The sequence below is a fragment of the Homo sapiens genome, chromosome 2 (genome assembly GCF_000001405.40).
Source record: "Homo sapiens chromosome 2, GRCh38.p14 Primary Assembly".
NCBI classification, from domain to species: domain Eukaryota; kingdom Metazoa; phylum Chordata; class Mammalia; order Primates; family Hominidae; genus Homo; species Homo sapiens.
Window position 1 is genome coordinate 68,445,054 of NC_000002.12, and position 26,742 is coordinate 68,471,795.

At 37.9% G+C, this 26,742-nt stretch overlaps 2 protein-coding genes and 1 pseudogene across 5 annotated transcripts in view, besides 4 other annotated features; 1 reads left to right on the forward strand and 2 right to left on the reverse strand.

Moving 5' to 3' along the window:
* Nucleotides 2,838–4,133, reverse strand: WDR4P2 (WDR4 pseudogene 2; annotated as a pseudogene).
* On the reverse strand, nt 14,369–22,241 carry FBXO48 (F-box protein 48). Of its 4 annotated transcripts, none has more exons than NM_001024680.3 (4): nt 22,158–22,241; nt 21,091–21,417; nt 19,787–20,125; nt 14,369–19,317 (listed from the first exon to the last, which is right to left on the reverse strand). In NM_001024680.3, exons 3-4 carry the CDS (start codon nt 20,090–20,092, stop codon nt 19,156–19,158), a joined length of 468 nt encoding a protein of 155 aa, NP_001019851.1. In that variant the 5' UTR covers nt 20,093–20,125; nt 21,091–21,417; nt 22,158–22,241; the 3' UTR covers nt 14,369–19,155. The 4 variants fall into 4 exon arrangements, 3 of the variants coding, with proteins under 3 accessions (NP_001019851.1, XP_005264464.1, XP_016859926.1); XM_005264407.4 differs by having other exon boundaries at nt 21,091–21,420; XM_017004437.3 differs by having other exon boundaries at nt 21,091–21,420; nt 22,154–22,241.
* Nucleotides 21,322–21,381: an enhancer, noted in NCBI's record as "active region_15957". NCBI's record gives its function as "activates an Ori minimal core promoter by ATAC-STARR-seq in GM12878 lymphoblastoid cells {active_cell/tissue: GM12878}" and the evidence as "EXISTENCE:reporter gene assay evidence [ECO:0000049][PMID:35858748]".
* Nucleotides 21,475–22,370: an enhancer, noted in NCBI's record as "H3K27ac hESC enhancer chr2:68693660-68694555 (GRCh37/hg19 assembly coordinates)". NCBI's record gives its function as "activates a minimal SCP1, AML or CMV promoter by ChIP-STARR-seq in naive H9 embryonic stem cells {active_cell/tissue: H9 hESC(naive)}" and the evidence as "EXISTENCE:reporter gene assay evidence [ECO:0000049][PMID:30033119]".
* Nucleotides 22,371–23,265: an enhancer, noted in NCBI's record as "NANOG-H3K27ac hESC enhancer chr2:68694556-68695450 (GRCh37/hg19 assembly coordinates)". NCBI's record gives its function as "activates a minimal SCP1, AML or CMV promoter by ChIP-STARR-seq in naive H9 embryonic stem cells {active_cell/tissue: H9 hESC(naive)}" and the evidence as "EXISTENCE:reporter gene assay evidence [ECO:0000049][PMID:30033119]".
* Nucleotides 22,532–26,742, forward strand: part of APLF (aprataxin and PNKP like factor) — a 112,578-nt gene continuing 108,367 nt past the window's right edge. Inside the window, exon 1 of the mRNA NM_173545.3 lies at nt 22,532–22,774. Within this exon, the coding sequence (NP_775816.1) occupies nt 22,679–22,774 (96 nt within the window). The 5' untranslated portion in view covers nt 22,532–22,678. The remainder of the gene's footprint in view (nt 22,775–26,742) is intronic.
* Nucleotides 22,607–22,816: a silencer, noted in NCBI's record as "silent region_11593". NCBI's record gives its function as "represses an Ori minimal core promoter by ATAC-STARR-seq in GM12878 lymphoblastoid cells {active_cell/tissue: GM12878}" and the evidence as "EXISTENCE:reporter gene assay evidence [ECO:0000049][PMID:35858748]".

The window sequence follows — 26,742 nt, forward strand, 5'->3', positions numbered from 1 at the left end:
GAGCATGCCCCGCTCCAGATTCCCCAGAATTGTGAAGGAGGTGAGGCTGCTGGTACAGGAGGACAATGGTCTGGCATGGCCCCTCTGTTCTGAAACCCCTGGTCCCCAGCACAGGGGAGTGGGCCTCAGCTTTGCAGACAGCACTGTTTCCAGATCACTGTTAAAAGGAAAACTAAGGATTCTAAGTCCCCAGCGAAAACCCACACCAAAATCATCACCAGCGTGCACATCTGTTCCCTTGTTGAGATTTAATCACTGAAGAGCAGGTGGAAGCCGTCCTGAACGAATTACCCCATGTACCTAGAAGCCTCTTCCCAAATCAAGCAGTGATCACCTCACTCATAAACAGAGCACGCACCCAAAGGTTTTGCTTGATGTATTTTGAGACTAGTTTCACGTGTTGCTGCTAAACGTTTCCAGGGAGTTGCAAAAGTTAATCCTTATGGATCGGTGATTGAAATACAGTGACATCCCTGCTGCTCTGCAGTGTGCGCAAAGGTCAAATCAAAATAACAAACACGCACGACGTCTTCGATCACCTTCCTGTAAAACCGGGTTTCTAGCCGGACCCATGTCCTCACAGTTCCTGAATCAAGTTCACCGTCTGTGCAAGCGCCACCTGACAGAGCTCCCTGCGACACTGAAACGCGTTTGGGCACTTCCCACGTGGGAACCACTCGCCACGGGCACCTCCTGAGTACAAGGTGCAGTGCTGGGGCTGGGGCAGGCTGAAGCGTTCGTTCTAAGTTTCTTTATTATTATTATTATTATTATTATTATACTTTAAGTTTTAGGGTACATGTGCACAATGTGCAGGTTAGTTACATATGTATACATGTGCCATGCTGGTGCGCTGCACCCACTAACTCGTTATCTAGCATTAGGTATATCTCCTAATGCTATCCCTCCCCCCTCCCCCCACCCCACAACAGGCCCCAGAGTGTGATGTTCCCCTTCCTGTGTCCATGTGTTCTCATTGTTCAATTCCCACCTATGAGTGAGAATATGAGGTGTTTGGTTTTTTGTTCTTGCGATAGTTTACTGAGAATGATGATTTCCAGTTTCATCCATGTCCCTACAAAGGACATGAACTCATCGTTTTTTATGGCTGAATAGTATTCCATGGTGTATATGTGCCACATTTTCTTAATCCAGTCTATCATTGTTGGACATTTGGGTTGGTTCCAAGTCTTTGCTATTGTGAATAATGCCACAATAAACATACTTGTGCATGTGTCTTTATAGCAGCATGATTTATAGTCTTTGGGTATATACCCAGTAATGGGATGGCTGGGTCAAATGGTATTTCTAGTTCTAGATCCCTGAGGAATTGCCACACTGACTTGCACAATGGTTGAACTAGTTTACAGTCCCATCAACAGTGTAAAAGTGTTCCTATTTCTCCACATCCTCTCCAGCACCTGTTGTTTCCTGACATTTTAATGATTGCCATTCTAACTGGTGTGAGATGGTATCTCATTGTGGTTTTGATTTGCATTTCTCTGACGGCCAGTGATGGTGAGCATTTTTTCATGTGTTTTTTGGCTGCATAAATGTCTTCTTTTGAGAAGTGTCTGTTCATGTTCTTTGCCCACTTTTTGATGGGGTTGTTTGTTTTTTTCTTGTAAATTTGTTTGAGTTCATTGTCGATTCTGGATATTAGCCCTTTGTCAGATGAGTAGGTTGCGAAAATTTTCTCCCATTTTGTAGGTTGCCTGTTCACTCTGATGGTAGTTTGTTTTGCTGTGCAGAAGCTCTTTAGTTTAATGAGATCCCATTTGTCAATTTTGGCTTTTGTTGCCATTGCTTTTGGTGTTTTTAGACATGAAGTCCTTGCCCATGCCTATGTCCTGAATGGTAAAGCGTAGGTTTTCTTCTAGGGTTTTTATGGTTTTAGGTCTAACGTTTAAGTCTTTAATCCATCTTGAATTGATTTTTGTATAAGGTGTAAGGAAGGGATCCAGTTTCAGCTTTCTACATATGGCTAGCCAGTTTTCCCAGCACCTTTTATTAAATAGGGAATCCTTCCCCCATTGCTTGTTTTTCTCAGGTTTGTCAAAGATCAGATAGTTGTAGATATGCAAAAATATGGAACACTAAGTTTCAACAGCCTCGTATGGCGAGCAGCTACTGCGGGGCAGCGCATCACCTGGACCGTGAGATGGTGGGAACAACAGGAAAGCGTCCACAGCGTCGGCGATAGATCCTCCTAGAGGAAGCGCGCCAGGCTCCAGAATAGCAGAAAACTGACAGCTGCCACCACTGCAGGTTCACACGCTGCCTTCAACGTGAAGGTAAAGTGCTTCCACTCCACCCGTCTGGCTTCCCTTCAACCAGAAAGGAGCACAGGCACCAGGCAAGAGCCTGTGCCCAGCAACACAGAATGTTCTAGAGCCCAGGAGACAGTCCCGTTCTCTGAGCTGAGCTGGTCGCACCTGATGTCACCTTTTCCTTTTTTTTTTTTTGAGACGGAGTCTGGCTCTGTCACCCAGGCTGGAGTGCAGTGGCGCGATCTCGGCTCGCTGCAAGCTCTGCCTCCCGGGTTCACGCCATTCTCCTGCCTCAGCCTCTTGAGCAGCTGGGACTGACTACAGGCGCCCGCCACCACGCCCGGCTAATTTTTTGTATTTTTTTAAGTAGAGACGGGGTTTAACCGTGTTAGCCAGGATGGTCTCAATGTCCTGACCTCGTGATCTGCCCGCCTCGGCCTCCCAAAGTGCTGGGATTACAGGCGTGAGCCAAAACGCCCGGCCACCTTTTCCTTTTTGAAGGGAGATGCCAGGATGCAGGGGGAACAAGTGAAAACTACTTTTCCTGTTTCGAGGGTGTGGGGCACCACCGACAGCCAAGATCAGCAACGCCAGGCTGACTCCCCCGGCCTTATCTTCTTGGCCTGCCCATTGGCCCAGGTGGGGGACTCAACTGCGCTGCTGCTTCTTCAGCTGCTGCTGCAGTCTCTCCTCTTTCTTCTTCAGGTAGAAGGTTATGTTGTCAAAGTTGGCCTTGTAGAGACTGCTAAAGCTGGGGTTCACGCAGGCAGAGCCTTCCAGCATGGCCCGGTTCCCACAAAGAACACTGGAGACTTTCTTTAACATGGCACTTTCAGGAACAGACTGCCACTGGCCACCCACAGGCCTGCAGAGCACCAGGGGAGGGGGGCTTCCAGGCAGTCCTGGAGCACCGACAGCCCCTGGGTTTCCTCAAAAGCTACATCCCACACTCGATGCTGGAATGACAGCTGCTGCCTGTACACCAGCTTCTGTCTACCGGCGTGAAACTGGAAGATGTATCCCACAGCAATGCAGGTGCTCAGAAGCACCACCCGGTTCTCCTGGCACCAGAACGCAATCCTGGACGCGGCAAACCTCTGGGGGGACCTGGAGGTCCGCGGACTCTTGGAGACTGTGGAGGTGACAGAAGTGAAGTTGGCGGCCGCTTCTGTACTCCCAGAGCCTCAGGGTGCAGGCCCCGGAGGAGGATGGAAGCAGCTCAGGCTGAGTGGGCAACATGGAGATGTAGTTCACAAACTGTGTGCCCGAGGCAGGAGGACTCAATGCTGCGGGGCATGGCGGCCCTGCTGACCTGGATCTTCTCGTCCCGGTCCGCAGTGAGGACGAAGTGGTCATCAGGATGCACAGCCACGTCTAATAGCATGGACAGAAAGGTGCTGCAGCTCCAGTCGGCCGCATCCGTGTGGCTCCAGCACCGAAGAGGAGACGCCTCCAGACTTGTCAGCCACCAAGACCTTCTCTTCGGAGGCTGTGAAGGTCAGGTCCGTACACCTCCTTGTCATGGTCCTGACACTCAGACATTGCCATGGTTATGTACAGAAAAGAATCAGACACTTACTGCCATCGGTTAAAGAAAACAGCTGCCAGACTTGGAGAAGGTGGACCGACAATTGCACCGCTCCCCTGAACCAAGGGCGGCTCGTCGTCCCCTTTATTTTCTTGTGACTTGTTTTCAAGCACTGCAGTCATAGATGAAGAGGCTGTCATCGTCACTGCTTGCAGTGGAGGTGGTCTGGAACCGGCTGCTCCCCTGCACCACCAGCTTCTGCCCGCACAACGCCAGCCCCGCAGAGTCTGCCTTGTGCCTACCCGCCTCGCCGCCATGCATATTTCCCCACCCAGCACATTTTTAACTTATTTCAATAGTTTTGGGGGAACAGGTGGGTTTTGGTTACATGGATAAGTTATTCAGTGGTAATTACTGAGATTTTGGAGCACCCAATCATCTGAGCAGTGTATGGTGAACCCAATGTGTAGCCTTTTATCCCTTGCCCACACTTTCCCATTCCCCTCGGGTCCCCAAAGTCCATTATATTATTCTTTGAGTCTTCATAGCTTAAGCTCTCCCTCATAAGATAGAACATACAATGTTTGGTTTTCCATTCTTGAGTTATTTCACCTAGAATAATGGTCTCCAACTCCATCCAGGATCCAGGATGCTCCGAATGCCATTATTTTGTTCCTTTGTATGGCTGAGTAGTATTCCATGGTGTGGATATATATATATCATGTAATATATATATACCATGTAATATATATACACCCTAGTATTTTATATATTATATAGAATATATATAAAATATATTATATTCTATGTAATATATAGAATATATAAAATATATTCTATATATTATATAGAATATATATTTTATAATATATATTATTTATATATTTTTATATATTTATATTATTTATATATTTATATATAATTTATATAATTTATACATATAATTTATATATAATTTATATAAATTATATATATAATTTATATATAATTTATATATAATTTATATAAATTATATATATAATTTATATATAATTTATATGATTTTTATATATAATTTATATATAATTTATATAATTTTTATATATAATTTATATATAATTTATATAATTTTTATATATAATTTATATAATATATATATATAATTTATATATAATTTATATAATTTATATATATAATTTATATATAATTTATATAATTTATATATATAATTTATATATAATTTATATAATTTATATATATAATTTATATATAATTTATATAATTTATATATATAATTTATACATAATTTATATAATTTATATATATAATTTATATAATTTATATATATAATTTATATATATAATTTATATAATTTATATATATGATTTATATAATTTATATATATAATTTATATAATTTATATATATAAATTATATATATAATTTTTATATAATTTATATATTTATAATTTATATATTTATATAATTTATATATTTATAATTTATATATTTATATAATTTATATATTTATAATTTATATATTTATATAATTTATATATAATTATTCATATATTTATATAATTTACATATAATTATTTATATATTCATATATAATTTATATATTTATATATAATTTATATATAATTATTTACATATTTATATATTTATATATAATTTATATATATTTATATATAATTTATAAATAAAATATATAATATATAATATATAATATTATAATAGATAAAATATATACTATATATTATATATTTTACATTATATTTAATATTATATGTATAATTTTATATCATATATAATATATATGATATATATAATTTTATATCATATATAATATATATGGTATATATAATTTTATATCATATATAATATATATGGTATATATAATTTTATATCATATATAATATATGATATATAATTTTATATCATATAATATATATTATATATAATTTTATATCTACATATTATATATTATATATACAATTTTATATCTATCTATAATATATATTATATATACAATTTTATATCTATATAATATATATTATATATACTTTTATATTATATATAAAATGTATATTATATATACTTTTATATTATATATAAAATGTATATTATATATAATTTTATTTTATATATAAAATGTATATTATATATAATTTTATTTTATATATAAAATGTATATTATATATAATTTTATTTTATATATAAAATGTATATTATATATAATTTTATTTTATATATAAAATGTATATTATATATAATTTTATTTTATATAAAAAATGTATATTATATATAATTTTATATTATATATAATATGTATATTATATATAATTTTATATTATATATAATATGTATATTATATATAATTTTATATTATATATAATATGTATATTATATATAATTTTATATTATATATAATATGTATATTATATATAATTTTGTATTATATATAATATGTATATTATATATAATTTTATATTATATATAATATGTATATTATATATAATTTTATATTATATATAATATGTATATTATATATAATTTTATATTATATATAATATGTATATTATATATAATTTTATATTATATATAATATGTATATTATATATAATTTTATATTATATATAAAATGTATATTATATATAATTTTATATTATATATAATATGTATATTATATATAATTTTATATTATATATAATATGTATATTATATATAATTTTATATTATATATAAAATGTATATTATATATAATTTTATATTATATATAAAATGTATATTATATATATTATATATAAAATGTATATTATATATATTATATATAAAATGTATATTATATATATTATATATAAAATGTATATTATATATATTATATATAAAATGTATATTATGTATATTATATATAATGTATATTATGTATATTATATATAATGTATATTATATATAATATATATTATATATAATGTATATTATATAATATATATTATATATTATAATATATAATATACATTATATATTACATATTATATATAATATATTATATATTATATATTACATATTATATATAATATATTATATATTATATTAAATATATATTTTATATATTATATATTATATATTATATAAAATATATATATTATATATTATATAAAATATATATATATTATATTATATATTATATTAAATATATATTTTATATATAATATATATAATATATAATATATAAAATATATATTATATATTATATATAAATTATATATATTATATATAAAATATATAATATATATTATATATAAATATACATATTATAGATATCTATTCTTTATCCACTCTTCTTGGTTGATGGACATTTAGGTGTTTTTTTAAAATGTAGTATAAACCAGTAGTTCCTAACAAGAGGGATTTTCCCCCAGGAGACATTTGGCAATGTCTGGCGACATTTTTGGTTGCCAGCACTTGGGAAGTGGTGCTACTGGCATCTAATGAATAGAGGCCAGCGGTGCTGCTAAACATTCTACAGTGTATACGACAGCACCCCTGCCCCTCCCCCAAACAAAGAATTATCCAGCCCAGAATGTTAATAGTGATAAAGTTTAGGGACCTGGTATAGACAGAGATAAAGCACACATGGTTAAAGTTAACAATTGGTTAATCTAGGTGATGATGCCATATTCTAGACTTTGAAATTTTTTGTAAGAGTGAAAACTTTCAAAATAAAACATTTAGGGAGAAAGCACGTTTAAAAATATATAATAAAAGTCTGAGAGAGAAAAAAAAAAGTTGAACTGATGAAAAAAGTAGGCCATACACAGGAAAACAATGGCAAAAGCAGTCCTTTTTATTTTCTTCACTAACCAATGAGAATAAAGACAGGAAATTGTGCTCAATCTACTTGTTAGGCAACAAAAAAACACAACCACAGCAATAAGTGGGGGAGATTCTCACGTGTGATTTTTAGAAAGCTTCTTTTATGGTTTTACATATTTTCTATCAGGATTTCATTGTGTGACAAATGGACTGTATAATTTTGTCATATTAAAAGTAAATCAAAATGAGCAAACTGGGAAACCAGCAGCTGGGTTTTTTTCCCCTACAAGGCACAGAAGACCCATAGCAGAAAAGTAGGCCTCAGAAAATGATTATTAAAAATTTCTTTTGGGCCAGAACAGTGGTTCATGCTTGTAATTCCAGCACTTTGGGAGGTTGAGGGGAGAGGATTGCTTGAGCTCAGGAGTTCGAGGCCAGCCTGGGCAACATAGTGAGACCCAGTCTCTAAAAATAAATAACTAAATTAATTAATTAAGAAAAATTTTTTCTTGAGCAGTTAATGTTTATGATAATACAGTATGATTGGTGTGGTACTTGTAAAACTGCAGTTTTATCTTTTTTTATTTCCATCCGGCCCTGACTGGGTAAGGACAAGGAGGTATTGGAAAATGCAAACAGGTTCATGAAAAAAGTCAGTTTTACTTGTGGTAGAACTCAATATAAGGATGTCAAGCTTTTATTAGAAACCCAACCCGCATGCCTTGTTTATTACCTTCTTCTGTCTCAGCTGTTCTTTATAGTTTTTACTCTTTCTTCCTTTTCCAGCATTATTTTATTGTGTAGAGTAATACTAGAATGGGTTGTTTTTTTTTTGTAATACATTCCGCTGTATTTTCCATGCCCAGTAATTCTTATTTCTCTGCAGCTCTCTGCCTGGAAAGACAGGCATCCAGTGCTTTGTGGGTCTGGTAGGTACAGCCGAGAATAAAGAAGTCAGAACTCAGCTTTGAATTTCAAAAGACTTTTTTCAAGCATAGAAGACTCAGAAGTCTTAACTGCTAGGCTTTCAACTGAGAAACGAAAATAAAATCCAAAGGTCCCCCCTGCAACTGACTAAAAGGACTCCCCTCTTGGCTAAGGAGATCCTAGAGAAATCTTAAAAGCTGAATTCCCAGCCATGATGGATTGGGAGGTCAGACATGCCCTGTTATACTCCCTCCCTTGCTACTTGCCATTATACTTCCACTCCTAAGTGTTAAACAGAAACAGGCCCTTTCTGAAGACTTGCTGGACTCTTCTTCCTTTTTGCAGTTTGACACAACAACTGACCATCATTCCTTCCTGATAAGAGGCCACTAACCATGGACTGGTTCTGGCCGGTTTACAGAAGCTGCACACAGGATGCTTCTGTGTCCTCTGTTTCAGCTTTTGACGTATAGAGCCTAATTTTAATACATTTAAATGTTAAGTTTCCATCCTAAAGTGAACATAGGATGTAGGTAACATACATGTTAGCTTGCTGTGCATGAGTGCACTCCCCTTTTGTGAATATTCATAGCTCCTCCTATAGCCTGTTAAATGTATATACTTAGCTGACCCTTTCAGCCTAAATTCCTGTCTTACCCTTCCCTCCCTAGAAGTACCTGCTTCTGGTTTCTGCCAGAAGCTACCCTTCCCAGGCTGTGGGATGGCCAGCCTGCAGGCTGCAACCCTTTATAAGAAATAAAGCTCTCCTTTCCACATTCATGAACCTCGTGATTCTTCAGTTGGCACAACAAAATGATAGAGGCACTTGAGGAAGAAAAAGGTCTTTTTAATTCCAAATTATTCCCTTTAGAGAATCTAGAACAGTGTTTATTAAATGAACTACCAGATATAGGAAGGAAGAAAAAGATAGGATATGAATGAAGTGCAGTACAGCATTCCCACCCCAAAAGGGATTGAGAAGTTTGCCAGTTGGCGTGAAGAAGAGAATCCAAGAAGAGTAAAGGAGGGTTACATGAGGCATTTCCAAGAGGTCCTACCTCCACCTTCCTCCAGTGTTGAAAGCCACAAACACATTTGATGATTTCGTGACAGAACGGACTTCTGCTGTATGTTCCACCTGGAAACGGTGGGACAAATAGGACATGCTATTTGTTTTAGGTGTGTGCCAATCACAGTAGAGTGGAAATGGGGTATGCTGTAGAGTGTTTAGGCAGAGTGGGCCTGAGAGGAGATTGAGTTACCCTACAATATCACCACTTGGTCAACTCCTATTTTCTTTTCCGTGAGCAGTGTGGAATTGGGAGAGGAATGAGACACACTGTAAAATTTAATCTTGCCCATTAAAAGTACAGTCATCCCTTGGTATCTGCCAAAATTTGCAGATGCTCAAGTCCCTTATATAAAATTGTGCAATATTTACACACAACCTGTGCACATCTTTCCGTATACTTTAAATCATTTCTAAATTACTTATAATACTAATGCAATGTAAATGCTATGTAGTTATTATACTGTGTTGCTTTTTATATAATTTTTTATTGTTGTATTTCCATTTGTTTTTATTTTTCCTAGTATTTTTGACCCGCGGTTGCATCTGTGGATGCAGAACACACGGGTTCAGAGGGACAACCATACTCCAGTCATTTCCACATTAACTCAGGCTCAGCACGTTACTCAGTCTTTCAGGGTTAGAGATGCCAGAGAAAATACAAGATGCTCAGTTAAATTTAAATTTCAGATAAAAATGAATTTGTTTTAGTATAAGTGTGTTCTTTGCAAACATTGGGGACATATACCAAAAAACAATTTGCTATTTATCTGAAACTCAAGTATTTTATTTGCTAAATCTGGCAACTCTACTTGGAGTTGCTCCCTCTTTTTTCCCTTCTTCCTTTTTCCTGACATCCATGCAGAAAGGCGGCTGAAGTAACAGCAAGGCATCGGGGCAAGGCCCTAGGCCTGCATGCTTCCTTCCATTCCTAACAACCTTCCACTTTCCACTAATCCTCTCCTCTCACTGCACTCTTGGTTACTGTAATTTGCAGTCAGTTTTCTTAGCACAATCGGGGATTGAGGTATAGGAGTCTTCCTTCAGCTGACTCTGGCCCACCTCAATTTGCACTGTGGCTACTGTTACTCTAAAGACACTGCAGCAACCTCTATTGGGCTCTTGGTTTAGGCTCTCAATCCCACGGCTTCGGCTGTGAGGCTCCTTTGCTGTGTTCTCAGCTACTTCTACAGCTATCTCATGGGGTGGGGGGAACTCACTCAGATATCCCATGTCCCACTAAGCGGAGGGAAATTTAAGAGCTACCTTTCTCTGTCCGTCCCTTTTGGACATCCCATATGAACATATTGAAACTTTGTATGCTGTTTCAATCTCTAAATCCTTTTTTTGTTTTTTTCTTTTTGTGCTTCAATGTTGGCATTGTTCTATTGTTCTATTTTCCAGTACGTAAATGCTTTTTCAGTGTTATAAACTGCTATTAAGCCTATGCATACATTTCTGTTGTTGTATTTTTCAATTCTATAATTTCCATTTAGTTCTCTAGTTTTCTGGTAAACATCTTCATATTAATCTGTTTTCCTCATCTTTTCATCCATCTGCCTGGATTTTAAAATCATAGCTACTTAAAAATTCTTGCCTGCAAACTCCAGTAACTAAATCCCTGTGACTTTGCTTCTATGTTCTTCCACCCCTCCCAACCCGTGATTTCCAATCATTTAGTTCTGTCTTTTAGGATGCTTGATAATGTTTTAAGTGCAGACATTGTATATGAAAAACTGAAGAGGCTCCAGATGACGTCATCTTCCTCTAGAGTGAATTCATCTTATCCTCCGTTAGGCAGTGGGGTTTGCTCACCTTAATCAAATCGGAGATTTACCTGAATTTAGGCTGGAGCCCATTGTACAGAGCCCACCAAAGATTTCAACTGAGAACCTGAGTTGTTTACCTTCCCTCTACTGGGTCCTCAACTGTAATCATTGTGTCCTCAGTAGTGTGAGACTGGGCAAAATCTCCTTTGCTTCTAAGAGGTTCTCTGCTTAGCTTCTTAGCTTACAGTCCCTCAGAGCTTCAGAATTTGGTAAATGTCTTGAGGAGAAAACTAGCCATATGTCCGATAATGTCTATAAAGCACTTAGCATAGAGTTGGCCATAGGGGAGTACTCTAGAAATGGGTTGTTGAAAAAAACAAACATTGGCTATATGAAAAAATGGGTCTTTTGGTGAAGAGACTTGGTGATTACCACCTCAACCAAATGATCAGACTTAACCATCTTGTATAGTAGAACCATCAGACATTATGTGCTTCTTATGTGATGTAATGAGAAGAATATTTCATCACTTGCAGTATAATTACTATGTAGTATAATTGCCAAATATGTTTTACTGAATCTTTTTTTTTTTTTTTTTGAGACAGGGTCTCACTCTGTCTTGCAGGCTAGAGTGCAGTGTTGCAATCACAGCTCACTACAGCCTTGGCCTCCTGGGCTCAAGCAATCCTCCCACCTCAGCCTCCCAGGTAGCTGGTATTACAGGCGCCCACCACCATGCCCAGTCAATTTATTTTTAAAATTTTTTGTAGAAATGGCATCTTGCTACATTGCCTGGGCTGGTCTTAAACTCCTGGGCTCAAGTGATCCTCCCACCTCGGCCTCCCAAAGTATTGGGATTATAGGTGTAAGTCACCACGCCTGCCCTCTGAATCAAATTATGAAGACAGAATCAGATAAATCAACTACAGAATATTCTATAAGATAACCAGTCTCAAGCCTGCAATCCCAGAACTTTGGGAGGCCGAGGCGGGTGGATTTTGAGGTCAGGAGTTTGAGACCAGCCTGGCCAACATGGTGAAACCCTGTCTCTACTAAAAATACAAAAATTAGTCAGGCGTGGTGGCGCGTGCCTGTAGTCCCAGCTACTAGGAAGGCTAAGGCAGGAGAATTGCTTGAACCTGAGAGGTGGAGGTTGCAGTGAGCTGAGATTGCGCTACTGCACTCCAGCCTGGGTGACAGAACGAGACTCTGTCTCAAAAGAAAAAAAATTAGTCAATATCCTAAAAAATAAAACCAAAGCCAGGGGACACTTCTGGTTAAAAGAGAGCAAAGCGACAAAAAACTCAGATGCATGTATAAATATTTTCTTGTAGCCTAAATTGAAAAAAAGAATCTATAAAAGATATTCTGGGGGCCACTGGGGAATTTAAATATGGATTGTAAATTACATGATATTATTGAATTAATATAAGAATTTTTAGATGTGATAATGATATTGCATGTAGGAGTGTATTTTTAGGAGATACATGCTGAAGTATTTAGGGGTGAAGTATCATCATGTCTGCAACTTCTTTTCAATGTTTCAGCAAAGATGAATAAATAAACAAAACAAACATAGAAACATGTTAACAACTTGTATTTCTAGGTGGATGGTGTACAAAATAGTGATTTGTCATATATTTTTACTTTTCTGTGGGTTTGAAATTTTTCCAGTGAAAAACTTGGAGGGACATTCTTGGCTCTTTCATCTAAGTTATTCATTCTAAGTTTCTGAAGTCATTTGATAAACATTTATTGAGTACCTACTATGTATGACACATTCTTGTAAGTGCTGGGAAGTGGTGATTAAATAGATGGAAAACATCATTCTCTTTCAGTTTCCTCATCCATAAAATGGATATAGAGTAAGCATACATCGTGTAAGAACAATGCTTGGTACAAGAAGGCATTCAATTAATGTCAGCTGTTATAATTAATCAGCTTCGTCCATTGTTGATCTGATTTCATCAATTTGATGTTTTTGGTCTTAAACTCTAAATAAAAATGTGTGATCTTCCATCTTATGTATTCTTCCCAACCCATTTCCTTAAGTTGCTACTCATCTTACTTTCATTAATATTACTAGGGCATTTGAAGTCTTGGAGAGAAGACATGATATAAAGTCAAAGCAAAGATGAAGTTAAAGTGGTCAGGGGTATATTACATTTTTCTTTTCTTTTGACACAGGGCCTCACTCTGTCACCCAGGCTGGAGTGCAGTGGTGCGATCACAACTCACTGCAGCCTCAGTCTCCCAAGCTCGAGCAATTCTCATACCTTAGCCTCCTGAGTAGCTTGGACTACAGGTATGCGCCACCACACCTGGCTGATTTTTAAAATTTTTAGTACAGACAAGGTCTCACTATGTTGCCCAGGCTGGTCTCGAACTCCTGAGCTAAAGCAATCTGTCGGCCTCAGCCTCCCAAAGTGTTAGGATTACAGGTGTGAGCCATCGCACCCAGCCATAGTTTTAAAATTAGGTTTGTACATATGCAAGTAGCCTCAGGTCGAAAGTTTATATTCACAGAGATTTTACTGATGATTATGTTCTGGTCTAAGATTGGGTTATAAACCAGAAGAAGCTAAAAAAAAAAGGTTTCTAAATTTATTTTTCTAAATACTAGATCTTAAACTGATTTAAAACACTCAAAATTCCTTAATACTCTTCCCCAAGAATCTTGCTTCTTGTACACAGGGTGCACACTTAACATGTTATTTTATCTATGAGTAAGAACATTCCTTCCTTCCATGCTGCTCCACCCACTCATGTTTTCAGATGCTAATGGCTTGGCCTGATAAATGCATGGTTCATTCTAAGCCCATACCATAAATTTATCACTAAGTTCCAAAGGTTTCCTTTCAGTGTAGACCTTGATCATAGCACATAATTTGTTAGTTATTTTAGTGCAATAGCACTAAAAAAATCGAAGTTAATGTTCATTCACATAATTTGCAAAGCTAATACTTAAAACTGATGGAAGTAATTCAATAATTCAAAATAATAAGTGATATTTTTGAGGTTAAGTTTATTTTCAAGAGTTCAAAACAATAAAACAAAACATTTTTATTTTCCTATTTCCCTCTTACAGGTTTGGAGAAGACTGGAACAATTATTCATACATTTGTATTACTATCAAGCATCCCACATACCTTAAGGATTGTATACTGCATTTTGATACAATCTTCTTCACTAACAATATAGTAAATTATTTTTATACATTCTGTGTAGGATTAAAATAAATAACTATAGAAATAATTTAACAAATCTTTATAGAGCATCTAGTGTGTGCCAGGTTTTGAAGACACAAAAATAAATAAAAAATGGTCCCTGCCATTAAGAAGTTCACAGTGTAAAGGGGCAAACACACAAATAAAATAGACAATTTAATGTCATATGACAGTTTTGAGAGAGGTCTATACAAAGAACTACAAGAACATCTAAAAAGTCACTTAATCCAGAACAGTAGAAGTTATGGATTGTTTCCAGGCCAAGATGATAAGTTTTACAATAGATTTTTGCCAAGAAAAGAATCAATGGTGGGGATTACTCCAGGTATATCAAACAGCCTGTGCAAAGGCAGAGAAGTGAGAAAATTTTTATGAAATAGTTTTGTAAGACTGAACAGAAAGATATAGGGTGGGACAGTGGTTAGAGAACAGGCTGGAGAGGTAGGCCAGACCACATCATTAAAGGCCCTATGGGCTTTAGTGGGGAATTTTGATTTCTACCTGTATGCAGTCAGGAGTTTAAGTTAGGGTGACGTGCTAAATTTGGGGTTTAACAAAGACTACACTGCTAACAGTAAAAGGAAGGAACTGGAGGCAGGAACACCAGTAAGAGGTTATTTTAGAAATCCCAATGTCAAATAAGGACAAGAATTAAGTAATGAGGCAGAGATAAAGATGGGGAAGAGGTGAATTACTTAGATATTTGGATGATAAAATCAAGTAAGAATTGACTCGGCTGGACTTGGAGAATGATGGAGAAAAGTAAAATATGGTGATTTTCTAACAGGACATGCCATTCACTGAGATAGGAACTGGAGGAAGAACTACTTTTATGAGATGGTAAGTTTTGATTCAGGTGCTTATATATAAACTATCTTTGGATATATCAAATATTTTATATATATATATATATACTTATACTATCTTTGGATAAAAATCCAAAAGATAATAGCATATGTATTTCTGGAACATCTCATGGAGATCTGATGTTGGGACACGGACATAGACGGCATTAGCACCAACAATGGTAGCTGACATAGGAGTTGTAGATGGGATCACCAAGGATGTTAGAGTATAGAGACGAGATGACAACAGGTGGAACTTTGGGGGAACACTAACATGTAATGAGTAGGTGAAGGAAAGCGAGTCTTTGGAGGAAACTGAGAAGACGGGTTAGAGTAGGGAAAGAAAAGTCCAAGAGACTATAGTTCCAACCCATGGAGGAGAGAGTTTTAAGAAGTACTTATGTGTGTCAGTGTGAGTGTTTATGTGTGTCAAATATATTAACAAGTAGAATGCATCCAGTGGATTTAGACATTAAGTCACTTGTAATTTGGATACCAACAGTTTCAACCATATGGAGTGATGGCCATATTATAGCAGATTAAGACTGACTGGTGAGGAAGTCAGAGTGAAATCTAAGATGTTAATGTAAGCCACAAATAATACATATTTGAAAAATGGGCAACGAAACCACATCAGGTGGGGGTCCCAGTATGATGGTGAAACTCAATTTGAATTAATTTAGGTAAGCAGATAAGGAATGGCTGGGACCAGGGTCTGGAATATAATCAGGCCTCTTTCCCTGCAATTGTTCTTTCCCCTGGTGGCTCCACATTCTCTTACTTAAGATCCGTTTTCGTTTTCTTTTTTTTTTTTTTTTTTTTGAGACGGAGTCTCGCTCTGTCGCCCAGGCCGGACTGCGGACTGCAGTGGCGCAATCTCGGCTCACTGCAAGCTCCGCCTCCCGGGTTCACGCCATTCTCCTGCCTCAGCCTCCCGAGTAGCTGGGACTACAGGCGCCCGCCACCGCGCCCGGCTAATTTTTTGTATTTTTAGTAGAGACGGGGTTTCACCTTGTTAGCCAGGATGGTCTCGATCTCCTGACCTCATGATCCACCCGCCTCGGCCTCCCAAAGTGCTGGGATTACAGGCGTGAGCCACCGCGCCCGGCCAAGATCCGTTTTCTTTGTGTGGCAGGGAACAGTTTCATCAGCAAAGAGGAAAGGGCTTCTTTCTTCCAACTTATGAAAAGGGGGGATTGGGTCATGTTTCCATCCTTGGACTAAACACGGAGGCTGGGAAAAACAGGATAATGTAAAAAAAAAAAAACAAGAAAACAAAAAACCCAGCTGGGTGCGGTGGCTCATGCCTATAATCCCAGCACTTTAGGAGGCTGAGGCAGGTAGATCACAAGGTCAGGAGGCCAAGATGGTGAAACCCCGTTTCTACTAAAAATACAAAAATTAGCTGGGCATGGTGGCGGGCGCCTATAATCCTGGCTGCTCGGGAGGCTGACACAGAGAGTTGCTTGAACCTGGGAGGTGGAGGTTGCAGTGGGCCAAGATCATGCCACTGCACTCCAGCCTGGGTGACAGAGTGAGACTTCATCTCAAAAAACAAAACAAAAAAACAAAAACAAAAAACTGCCCCCCACCCCGGCCAAAAAAAACCACACACTTGGTTGGAAGTGAGAAGGGTGAGTCTCCCTAATTAGGATAACTTCTATTAACAGATGATGATGATAGATTGTAAGGGGGCTGGACAAAAATAATAAACATCCATTACAAAAAAACAGCTAAAAATATATGTGTACATTTACTATTGTACACAGATGCTATTCAGCAAAATGCTTATAGCTTTAATTTTTCCCATACTTTGAAAATTTCCAAGTGCTTTCTTATCTTTTATGAAATAAAATTAGTAGGATACCTTTCTTTCTTCCTTTTTTTTTGAGACGAAGTTTCACTCTTGTTGCCCAGGCTGGAGCGCAGTGGCGTGATCTCTGCTCACTGCAACCTCTGCCTGCCAGGTTTAAGCGATTCTCCTGCCTCAGCCTCCCAAGTAGCTGGGATTACAGGCACCTGCCACCACGCCCGGCTAATTTTTGTATATTTAGTAGAGACAGGGTTTCACCATGTTGACCAGGCTGGTCTTGAACTTCTGACCTGAGGTGATCCACCCACCTTGGTCTCCCAAAGTGCTGGGATTACAGGCGTGAGCCATGGCGCACAGCCCCTTTCTTTTGTTAAGAGTAAATGGGCAGAAGAGAATGTTGTTGGGTCTAGAAATTATACTCTATGATCATCAGTGGAATTGGAGAGAAGACATAGGAAGAGACAGGCTATCAGTCTTCAAATATCTGGCAATCATAGACAGGAAGGACTGAATCAGCCTGGTTCTAGAGGGTGGAAGTGGGGCTAGAAGGCAAACGTTACAGAGAGGTGGTCTTCAGTGCAAGCCTAGACTACAACTGGACTGTTCTGTGACATAACAGAGATGCTATTAGTAGAAGTACAGGATTTCAGCTTGGGCTGGCTGACTGACAGTGTTCCTATTGAGAAAATTACTGAATAGTCCTGGACACTTGACTGCCTGATTTTCAAGGACTCTTCCAACTCTAAGAAGATAGTAGGAGACAATTAATTATCTACTGCTTGATTCAACATACAGAATTTGCATATAGTGGGGCATCTTTCTAATATTTGCCTATTTGTTAAATATTGGTTTCCTGGATTCTTATATTTAATGCTATAGAGAACAGTTTTTAAGAAGAAAACCCCACACTAACTAAAGCAGTTTGTAGACACTTTTTTACTATGGTGGTAACCACAGATTCAGAATAAACAATTTGTTATAGTGAGTAGCATATAATCTGTTTTTATGAAAAAAGAGAAACAAAAGTTTTTAAAAGTTAAAATAAAGGTTCCTAAAAAGTTATAAACTTTAACAAAGACAAGTGTTAAGGATTCTTTAGAATAACAGTTTTCTTTTTAATATGGAGAAAACAAAAAGGAGCTGAAAGTCCTTTGTCTTGCTATCTAAGAATAGCACACTAGATGGTGCTATAAGGCTGTCAGAAAGAGAGTTTTACCAGGCTAGTGTGGCATTCTGATGGTAAAGTGTTCTGGAAACTTTCCACTTACTTTCAGCTCCTGAGAGCCGTTCCAGGTTTATATAAAATTAATGGGAATCTCAATTGGACAAACTTTAGCCCTGAGATGACATTAACTTAAAACTAAACCACAGGCTTAACACATTAAAAATAGTTTCACTATTTGACATTTCAATCTGATTCCACTGAAATAGAAATGTTAAAGTCATTAAAATGTCAATGTATTAATTTAAATGTATTGCTATTAATTTCACTTAGCTAGTCTTCCCATGAGCCTAGTTATAACCACCACTTAATGAATCTTTAAGTCAGTTTAAAGTGGCTTCCTGAAATTTTGAATTATCATTAAGCTGAACATACAAATCACTCTTACATTTAGTATTGCAAATATATTAACACAAATACATGAAACATTGTATTTGGAAATCACTCTATCAGTATATTATTTCTTATAAAAATAACATTTCATGATTTTTCCACATTACAATAAAACCAGAAAAATTTTACTAAAGTGCAAAACAAAAATAAAGCTTTACTTTTATAATAGTTCCATTTCATTTTCTTTTAAAAAGGTGAACAACAAAATGAACGAATAAAGATATCGCTTTTGCAACCTAAGAGTCATTTAAGTTTTAAACTTTCAAAGACCTGAGATTTGTGATTTTTTTTCCCCTTATCTTTCCAGTTCTGCTTCTAGAATTTCCCCCCATGTATCTGCATCCATTGGGTACATGATTTTTTCTGGTAGGCTAATGGGAGAACAAATGTTGCTGTATCTGCCACTTAGCCATTCGTGTTTCACTTTACTCTTCTGGTAATTCCTCAGCAGTATCACCTGAAAGAGGTAAATCACCGTTAAAAAAGACTGTAGTAGGTGGTTGGTTAGTGAATGTGTTTAAAGCAAGAGAAGCAGATTGACAGGGCTGAAAAAAAGAGTATTTACATTTATATATACGTACATTAATAAATGTATGTGTCTGTGTACGTGTGTGTATGTATATGTGTATTTATACTGAGTGGCATAAGGTGAAGTGGAAAGAAGGAGCTAATTCCCTTCTGGTTAACGCAGGAAAATTCCCGAATTTAGAATTTTAAAAATGCAAAAGGATAAATGAAAGATAGTGTGGAAACAGTGTGGTTAGCAGGAAAAGACTAATAACTTTAACTCATTTCCAAGAGTCAACACACTGTCTGTGTTATTCTGCATATGTAATTCTGACTCCTCCAAGCAGAAGTTAGAATTGGCGCAAACCTGCTATCATAACGCTGTCAACAACACTGCAGATCGCAAAGATTAAACTTACCCTCCAGGAATAACCACTTTCTAGATCATCATCTATTTCTCTTCGGCACACAGCTCTTACAGTCATGCAGTGAGGTTTCCATAAAGAGTCACTGTTTCTTATTGTGTCATTCCAGCTCCTGCATGTCAATGAAGCCCTGCACAGACTCCGAATGTCCAGCTGACTGAAAATTTTAAAAGTGATTTCTGCAGGCAGCAGTTCAAAAAAGTTGTTTTGACTCTCATTTTTTTCCTTCTCAGCATCCACAGAGTTCGCTTCTGTGTGAGAAACTCTTAAATTATTGTTTCTCTTGGAGTTTTTATGCATAGCTTAATGTTTTAAGTTATCCTCATATGTAACCTAAAAGGCAAAATTTAAACATGCTCAGTCTCCAAATAGGAGTATAAATCCTACTTTAAGTCAGATGCTTTTTGGGTATAATTTAAGAACTCTTTCTTGACTTTAGCTTCTCAATCTGTAAAATGGGCCAATGCTGCCGCTCTCCTGAAAGTTCTTGCAAGGATTAACAGTGATAGTGGGTAAAATATCTAGTCTTGCTACATCTGAATTGCACATGGGAGGCACCCAACATGTTAGTTTCACTCTCACCCAGGCTGGAGTGCAGATGTGTCATAATAGCTCACTGCAGCCTCAAACTCCAGCCTCAAGCGATTCTCTTGACTCAGCGTACCCCGCCCCTCTTTAAAAAAAAAAAAAAGAAAAAAAAAAAAACAGAAAACCAAAAACTGTTTTACGGAGAAATGGTTCTTGCTATGTTGTCCAGGCTGGTCTTGAACTCTTGTCCTCAAGCAATCCTTCTGCCTCAGCCTCCCAGAGTGCTGGGATGACAGGTATGAGCCACCATACCCGGTACTTTTGTACCTTTGAAAATGTATATGAGTCAATCCTATTAAACTCCTGAATACTTGTTGTACATGGGAACTGATGCCTCATCATTAATTTGCAATTTGTGACTTAATCATAAACTTGCTGGACTTCTAGTTGTTTATATAAGAATTTTATCTACTTGTATCTTATAGGTAGGTAGGTGCTTACATTTGACACAACTACTATCTGAAATGGACAAGAAGATGAGATCTGGATTATGAAACAAAGTCTCAAATATTCAACTCAGTCATAAGAGTAGTGTTTTAGAAATGGCCCCTTGAAGCTATCCTACATGCATAATTACAAGCTAAGGATAATAGTCACTGAAGACATCAAGCAACAGTGAGTGACAACTGTAAACAATGTTTAGAACTCAGCTAGGTACAGTATGTGACTCTTTGAAGCCCAGATTTAAAGCTCAGTTTCAGCTAATTTACCTAAGGTGAATGGTGTAGGCTTCCCAAATCAGTTGAAAGCATGACTGGGTACATCACCATCCTTGAGTTACTTTTGTATATAAAGACAGCTTGTATTCACTTAAAATCAGTTTATTCCATTTTGCACTTCCTTTTATAACGGGGGTTGGTTGTGCAAGAGGAGAGGTTTGAGGTAAATACTTCTTTTAACTCAGCTGAACACAAATCTCTTTTCTAGACGAGCTACTCAGCTATGTTTTCGGACTTGCCAAGACCACGGTGGCTCCCATTCATGATCCAGATTAGCTGTGGTGGCTGGAACTGCAGTCTGTGTTCAACAGAGGTCTTCTTCTTGAGGGTTAGGAGAAGTAAGAAAGCAAACGTAAAAACGGGTGAGTCAAGAGCAAGTTTTTGCCATGCACCTTGGCCCCTCCCACCACCAATACAAACCAAAGCCAAACCACAACGTTCTTGAAAAGAATCTCACATTAGGAAAACGTTACAGTGCATTTAAACGTTACAGTGTGTTTATCCACTTCTCCCAGGATCTTACTGGGAGAATAAAATGCGTCCCCTTGTGGAATTCCTGTAACGGGAATGAAGGCTTTTGAATTTCACAGCAGGGGATACCTTTGCGAGTTTCTAAAATCCCACTAGGAATCTTTCTTCTACGTCCAGGTTCGCCTGGATGCCTGGAAACGACCCCTCTTCTGCCCTTTCTCCTTTATGAACTGAGCTTTCCTGAATTCTCTCTCAAGTGAAGTAAAAGCTCGTCCCCCTTTCAACTATCATTCGGAGGGATAGATCGGCGGCAGCGCAGTCGGAGGGGCGGGGAGCCCCACTCCGTCCAAATCCCGCGGGTCAGGGCTAATCACCCCACGTCCCGTCTGAGCCACCCTCCTTGTGTCCCGCGCGGGTTGCAGCTGCTGGAACCCAAGAACACAGGGCACTGACAAGTGACAACAACCGTCAGCGTTGACTGTCACTGCGGCTCCAGGCCGCGGAGGGAAGGCTGAGCTTGCGTCCAGGCCGCGTCCCCGGGAGCGTAGACACCTAAGCCAACGGGAACGGAAGACCCTTCTACCTACTAGGCCGCGGTAGCTTCTCCTCCCGCGATTTAAATCCACCGGAATTCGAATCCTTCCCCATAGCTCTTCGCATCCCGCCCACCTGAGTCCCGCCCTGCTCAGAACTCGCGCAGGCGCCGAGAGGGGCGCGCAGTGCCTTTGGGGATTGGTAGTTTTTTCCAGGGCGTCTCCGCTCGGGAAAGGAAGTGAAGAAAGCCACCAGGACTACAAGGCCCGGCGTCCTCCAAGATGGGAGGGAGGTGAAAAGGGTGTTGGGGAATAAGCCGGGGTTTTTAAACAGTAGTTTTGAGGCGGCGAGACTGGGGAATCCCCGGTTGCGTCATTAGTAGGCGTGGAGGGGCGGGACTCGTGAAGCTGCGCTGGGGCCGGGCTCTGAGAGGACCGGCGCAGCCGCGGGGAGCCTTTGAGGCCCTCCCTCGGTGTTTTTTCCCAGGGCGTGGGCTTGCCCCGCGCGTGTCTGTGGAGGGCGGAAACAGCGGAGGGGCCAGTCTCCTGGCGAAGGGGCCTAATCCTTGCCCGCCATGTCCGGGGGCTTCGAGCTGCAGCCGCGGGACGGCGGTCCCCGGGTGGCCCTGGCGCCCGGGGAGACGGTGATCGGCCGCGGGCCGCTGCTGGGAGTAAGTGTGGGCGGGGGCTTAGCGGACCCCGAGAGCCGTGGAGTTCCGCGCCGGCTCCTGAAGACCGGCCCTAGTCCTGGCCGGTTTCCCCACCGCACTGGTCCGCCGGTCCGGATTTTAGAAGTTTGGGGCCGCACGTTTTTCAGTTACCTTTAAGCCAATTCACAAACATTTCTTTATGTTGCTTTTAAAACACTGACTGTATTACCATTATTATCTTATCCAGGGATTGGCAAACTAGTGCCTGGGGGCCAAATCCAGCCTATGTTTGTATGGCCCCATGAACTAAGAATGATTCTTAAATTCTGAAATGTAAAATGTAAACAAAAAATCTACTAATTTTTCAGGGGGAATAGTTGCTCCAAGGGTTGAGGGTATTGCGGCTTGTCTTGTAAAGCCTAAAATATTTACAGTAGTGTCTGGTCCTTTACAGAAAAGTTTGCCAAACTGTGATATTACGTCTTCTAGGCTAATTTCTTTTAACCTTTGGTCTCCTTTGCAGAGCTGTGTGGACCTTATTTATTTATATTATTTATTATTTCCAGTAAAATGAGTAGCTAACCCTTCATAAGTAATGTGTATAGCGTTCGTGTCATTGGTCTAAGGAGACATTACCTATACCAACATCTTTAACTGTCTCAAGACCGTATCAGTTAGCTATTTTTATTATCCTCATTGTTCAGATGAGAAAATTGAGCCATACATACATTATTTAAAGTCCATACATAAGCTTTTGGACACATAATGCCACAAAGCTAAATATTCTCTACCTTCTTTGGGAGAGGTTTAGGAATAAGAACATTTGCATATTGCATTCTGGAATTCTATAGATCTCTTAAGTACATCTAGTTTTCTATTTTGTTCTTTAACATTCAACATTTCTTGTTTGGTGCTCACTGTGTAGAACATTTTGCAGATTCTAGCACTGTGGGGCATACAAAGATGAATGGAACATGGGTCCCTACCCTTTAGGAGTTTTCTCTTGGGACCGGGGAGACACCTGTGTCAGTGAGCTAACACCAAGGAGTAAGGAGTGTGTACTGTTGTCCTGGTTAACTTCCAGAGTCTAAATGGAACCATTGGTACTTGCCTTAGGTCCCTTCTGGGAGCAGGGAAAGGAGTGGTAGTTTAAGATTGTATTATGGAAGCTGGTCCTAAAGGGGTGTGTGTGTGTGTGTGTGTGTGTGTGTGTGTTGTGTGTTGTGTGTTGTGTACATGCACATGTGCATGTGGTAAGGTTATTGAGGAAGTAGATATTCAATTGCTGTTCATTTTTTTACTGGACAAGTGATTATTTAAATATTTAACATCATTTCTATTTTTTTCATCGTTTGTTGGCCTATACAAACACTGGAAGGAACTGTCTGGAGGCTTTATTTTTCTTTTAAATTCGTAGGTTTGAAACTTAAGAGTATGTGCTTAATCTAGTAATCATATGTCTGGTGACTAACGAGTTTTGACTTGCTTAAGAAATTGTCACCAGTAGAGTACTGTGGGTCTGGTTAAAAGGTGGATGAATTTTAGGGCCGTGGTTTAGAAACATGGCAACAGATTGCAGACCGTTTCATTATTTGTAGCTTGTTCTTTGTGTTGTCGACTTGCTAATGTGAGATGAGCCTATTTGGTATCTGTTTTTAAAAATGGTAAGGAGTGAAAGCTGGGCAATTACCTGGTCAAGATTTTGCTTTTCCTTTTGAAATAACATTCAGGGATGAGATTCTTTTGCCAAGGTTGGCGTGTATCAGAAGTGGTTATGAATGACATCCTAAGTGTGTTAAAGGAAAAATTTGGAGAACAAACAAATCGCCTTGTAGTTTTTTCGATTTTGGAGCTGACAGATGCACTCGATTCTTCTCTGCACTGGTTAAAACACAACATAAGGGCTCCTGTTTCCAACAACAGCAATTCCAGTGAGATTTATTTTTGTATTGTGAGAGAGCGAAGACTGAGTTCTAAGTGGAAAACTCAGTAAGTTCATTGTAAATTGGAATCGGAAACGATTAATATAAATAAGGATGATTTTGAACTTTCTTAATTGGGCATGTTTTTCTGAGACAAGCTTCACAAACCTTGATGGCCACACAAACATAAAAGTTTATAATCTGACTGTGTAAAATAGTCTTGGTAGTAAAACAGTTTGACAATGAGAATGGTTTTGTATTTTTATGGTGGTAGGAAAACACAACAGAGAAACCTGTCACAGAGAACAAAGGACAATGAAATTTAATCTTTCTTGTTCCCTTTGCTTTCATGTGAGTCATCAGAGAACCCCAGGTCTTTGTTTACTAGATTTTGATTCTGCTCCATGATTGGCATCAGTTAGAAGGTTTTACAGCAGGATTAATCTTCAGAGAACTTGAGTTAAAACAGCCAATCCAAAAGATTACATATTGTGTGATTCCATTTATATAACATCATTGAAATTGCGAAATTGCAAAATTTCAAAAATGGAGAACAGATTAGTGGTTGCCAAAGGTTAAAAAATTAGGCAGCAGGGCAGAAGGGAATGGATATGGCTATAAAATAGCAACATGAGGGATATTTGTGGTGATAGAAATGTGCTTTGTCTGGACTGTGTCAGTATCAATATCTTAGGTTGATATATTGTACTATAGTTTTGTAAGACGTTACCATTAGGGGAAACTGGATAAATGGTACAAGAGATATTTCTATATTATATCTTTCAACTACATGTGAATCTACCATTATCTTAAGAAATTTAATTTAAAAGGGTTTTACAGTACGACATGTCAAGCACTGTTAGGCCAAAGTATTTGCTTTATGGGTTTTAATTAAAGCTGTTACACTCTTAAATGAAATCTACTATTTCTGATTTCAGATTTTTCTTATTTTGTTTTGACAGCAGGGATTATATGACACATTTCTTTATGATCTATTTTCCTCCTAGGAAACAAGATAGCAAAAGATATCTAGTGATACTTTCTCAATGTAGATGTAATTAAATTGACTGCTTTGATTAAAAGGAGAAGAGTCCTCAGTTGGGGGAACAGGGAAGGTCATAGGCTTCAGTATAGACTCTTCAGGTGGCATCAGTTCACCACTTCTAAGAATGTTGTAAATGTTCTACAAAGTTTACACAAAGTAACCATCCCCTGACCTGGCAGCTCTATACTTTTAACTGCTTGTTGCAGAATCCTGGCTGTCCTGGAATGCTGTTCCTACCTGCTCCAACATAGGTTTCTTCCCTTACGTTTCTTTTATTTCTAGATTTGCCCTTCCCTCATTTTATTATTTAGCCTACAACCAGTGCCTAGCACACAGTAGGCCTTTAACACGTGATTTCTTCCTTCCATTTCGGCATCTCAGCCTCTCATTCACTCTACCCTCAAAAAGAGCCTAATTGTGACTTAGATATGAAAAAGGGTTATCATTGAGTTTTGAAGTGAATTTAAATATAGTAAAGATGCAGTCCTACCAACTGCTAAATCTTGAGTAGCATTCATAATGAATTAAGTTTTAACATTTTTCCTGTTTTGTTGATTGATAATTCGCTAAATTCAGGAAATAGCTGATAAATATATACTATGGTTGGATGGGAGGGAGTATAGGAGAAATAAAGGTGAATGAGAAACAAGTCTTTGCTCTCAAGAAACTTATAGTTTTGTAGGGTTAAGAGACAAATAAACAAGTATTAGTAACTAAATAAGGCTACAACCTCACATGGGGACTGGCGCCAGGCTGACACTTGGAGTAAGCGAAGTGGGAGGGAAGAAGAAAAACAACACAGGGACAGTGATAAATGACAACAGTTCTGCCTCAGTGTTGGGAAGGCCACAAGGAGAGGGTCTCTATGCAATCCCTGCTACTTTCCCCTATTCCCAGTTGGTAACAGTGTCATATTGTTTTTTTAAGAATAGTAAGAAATTTGAATTTTTAGATATAATCACTGATTTTTAAAAGGTCACATTTTTATTAAAAGTTTTGGTTAAATACCATGAGTCTGTTGA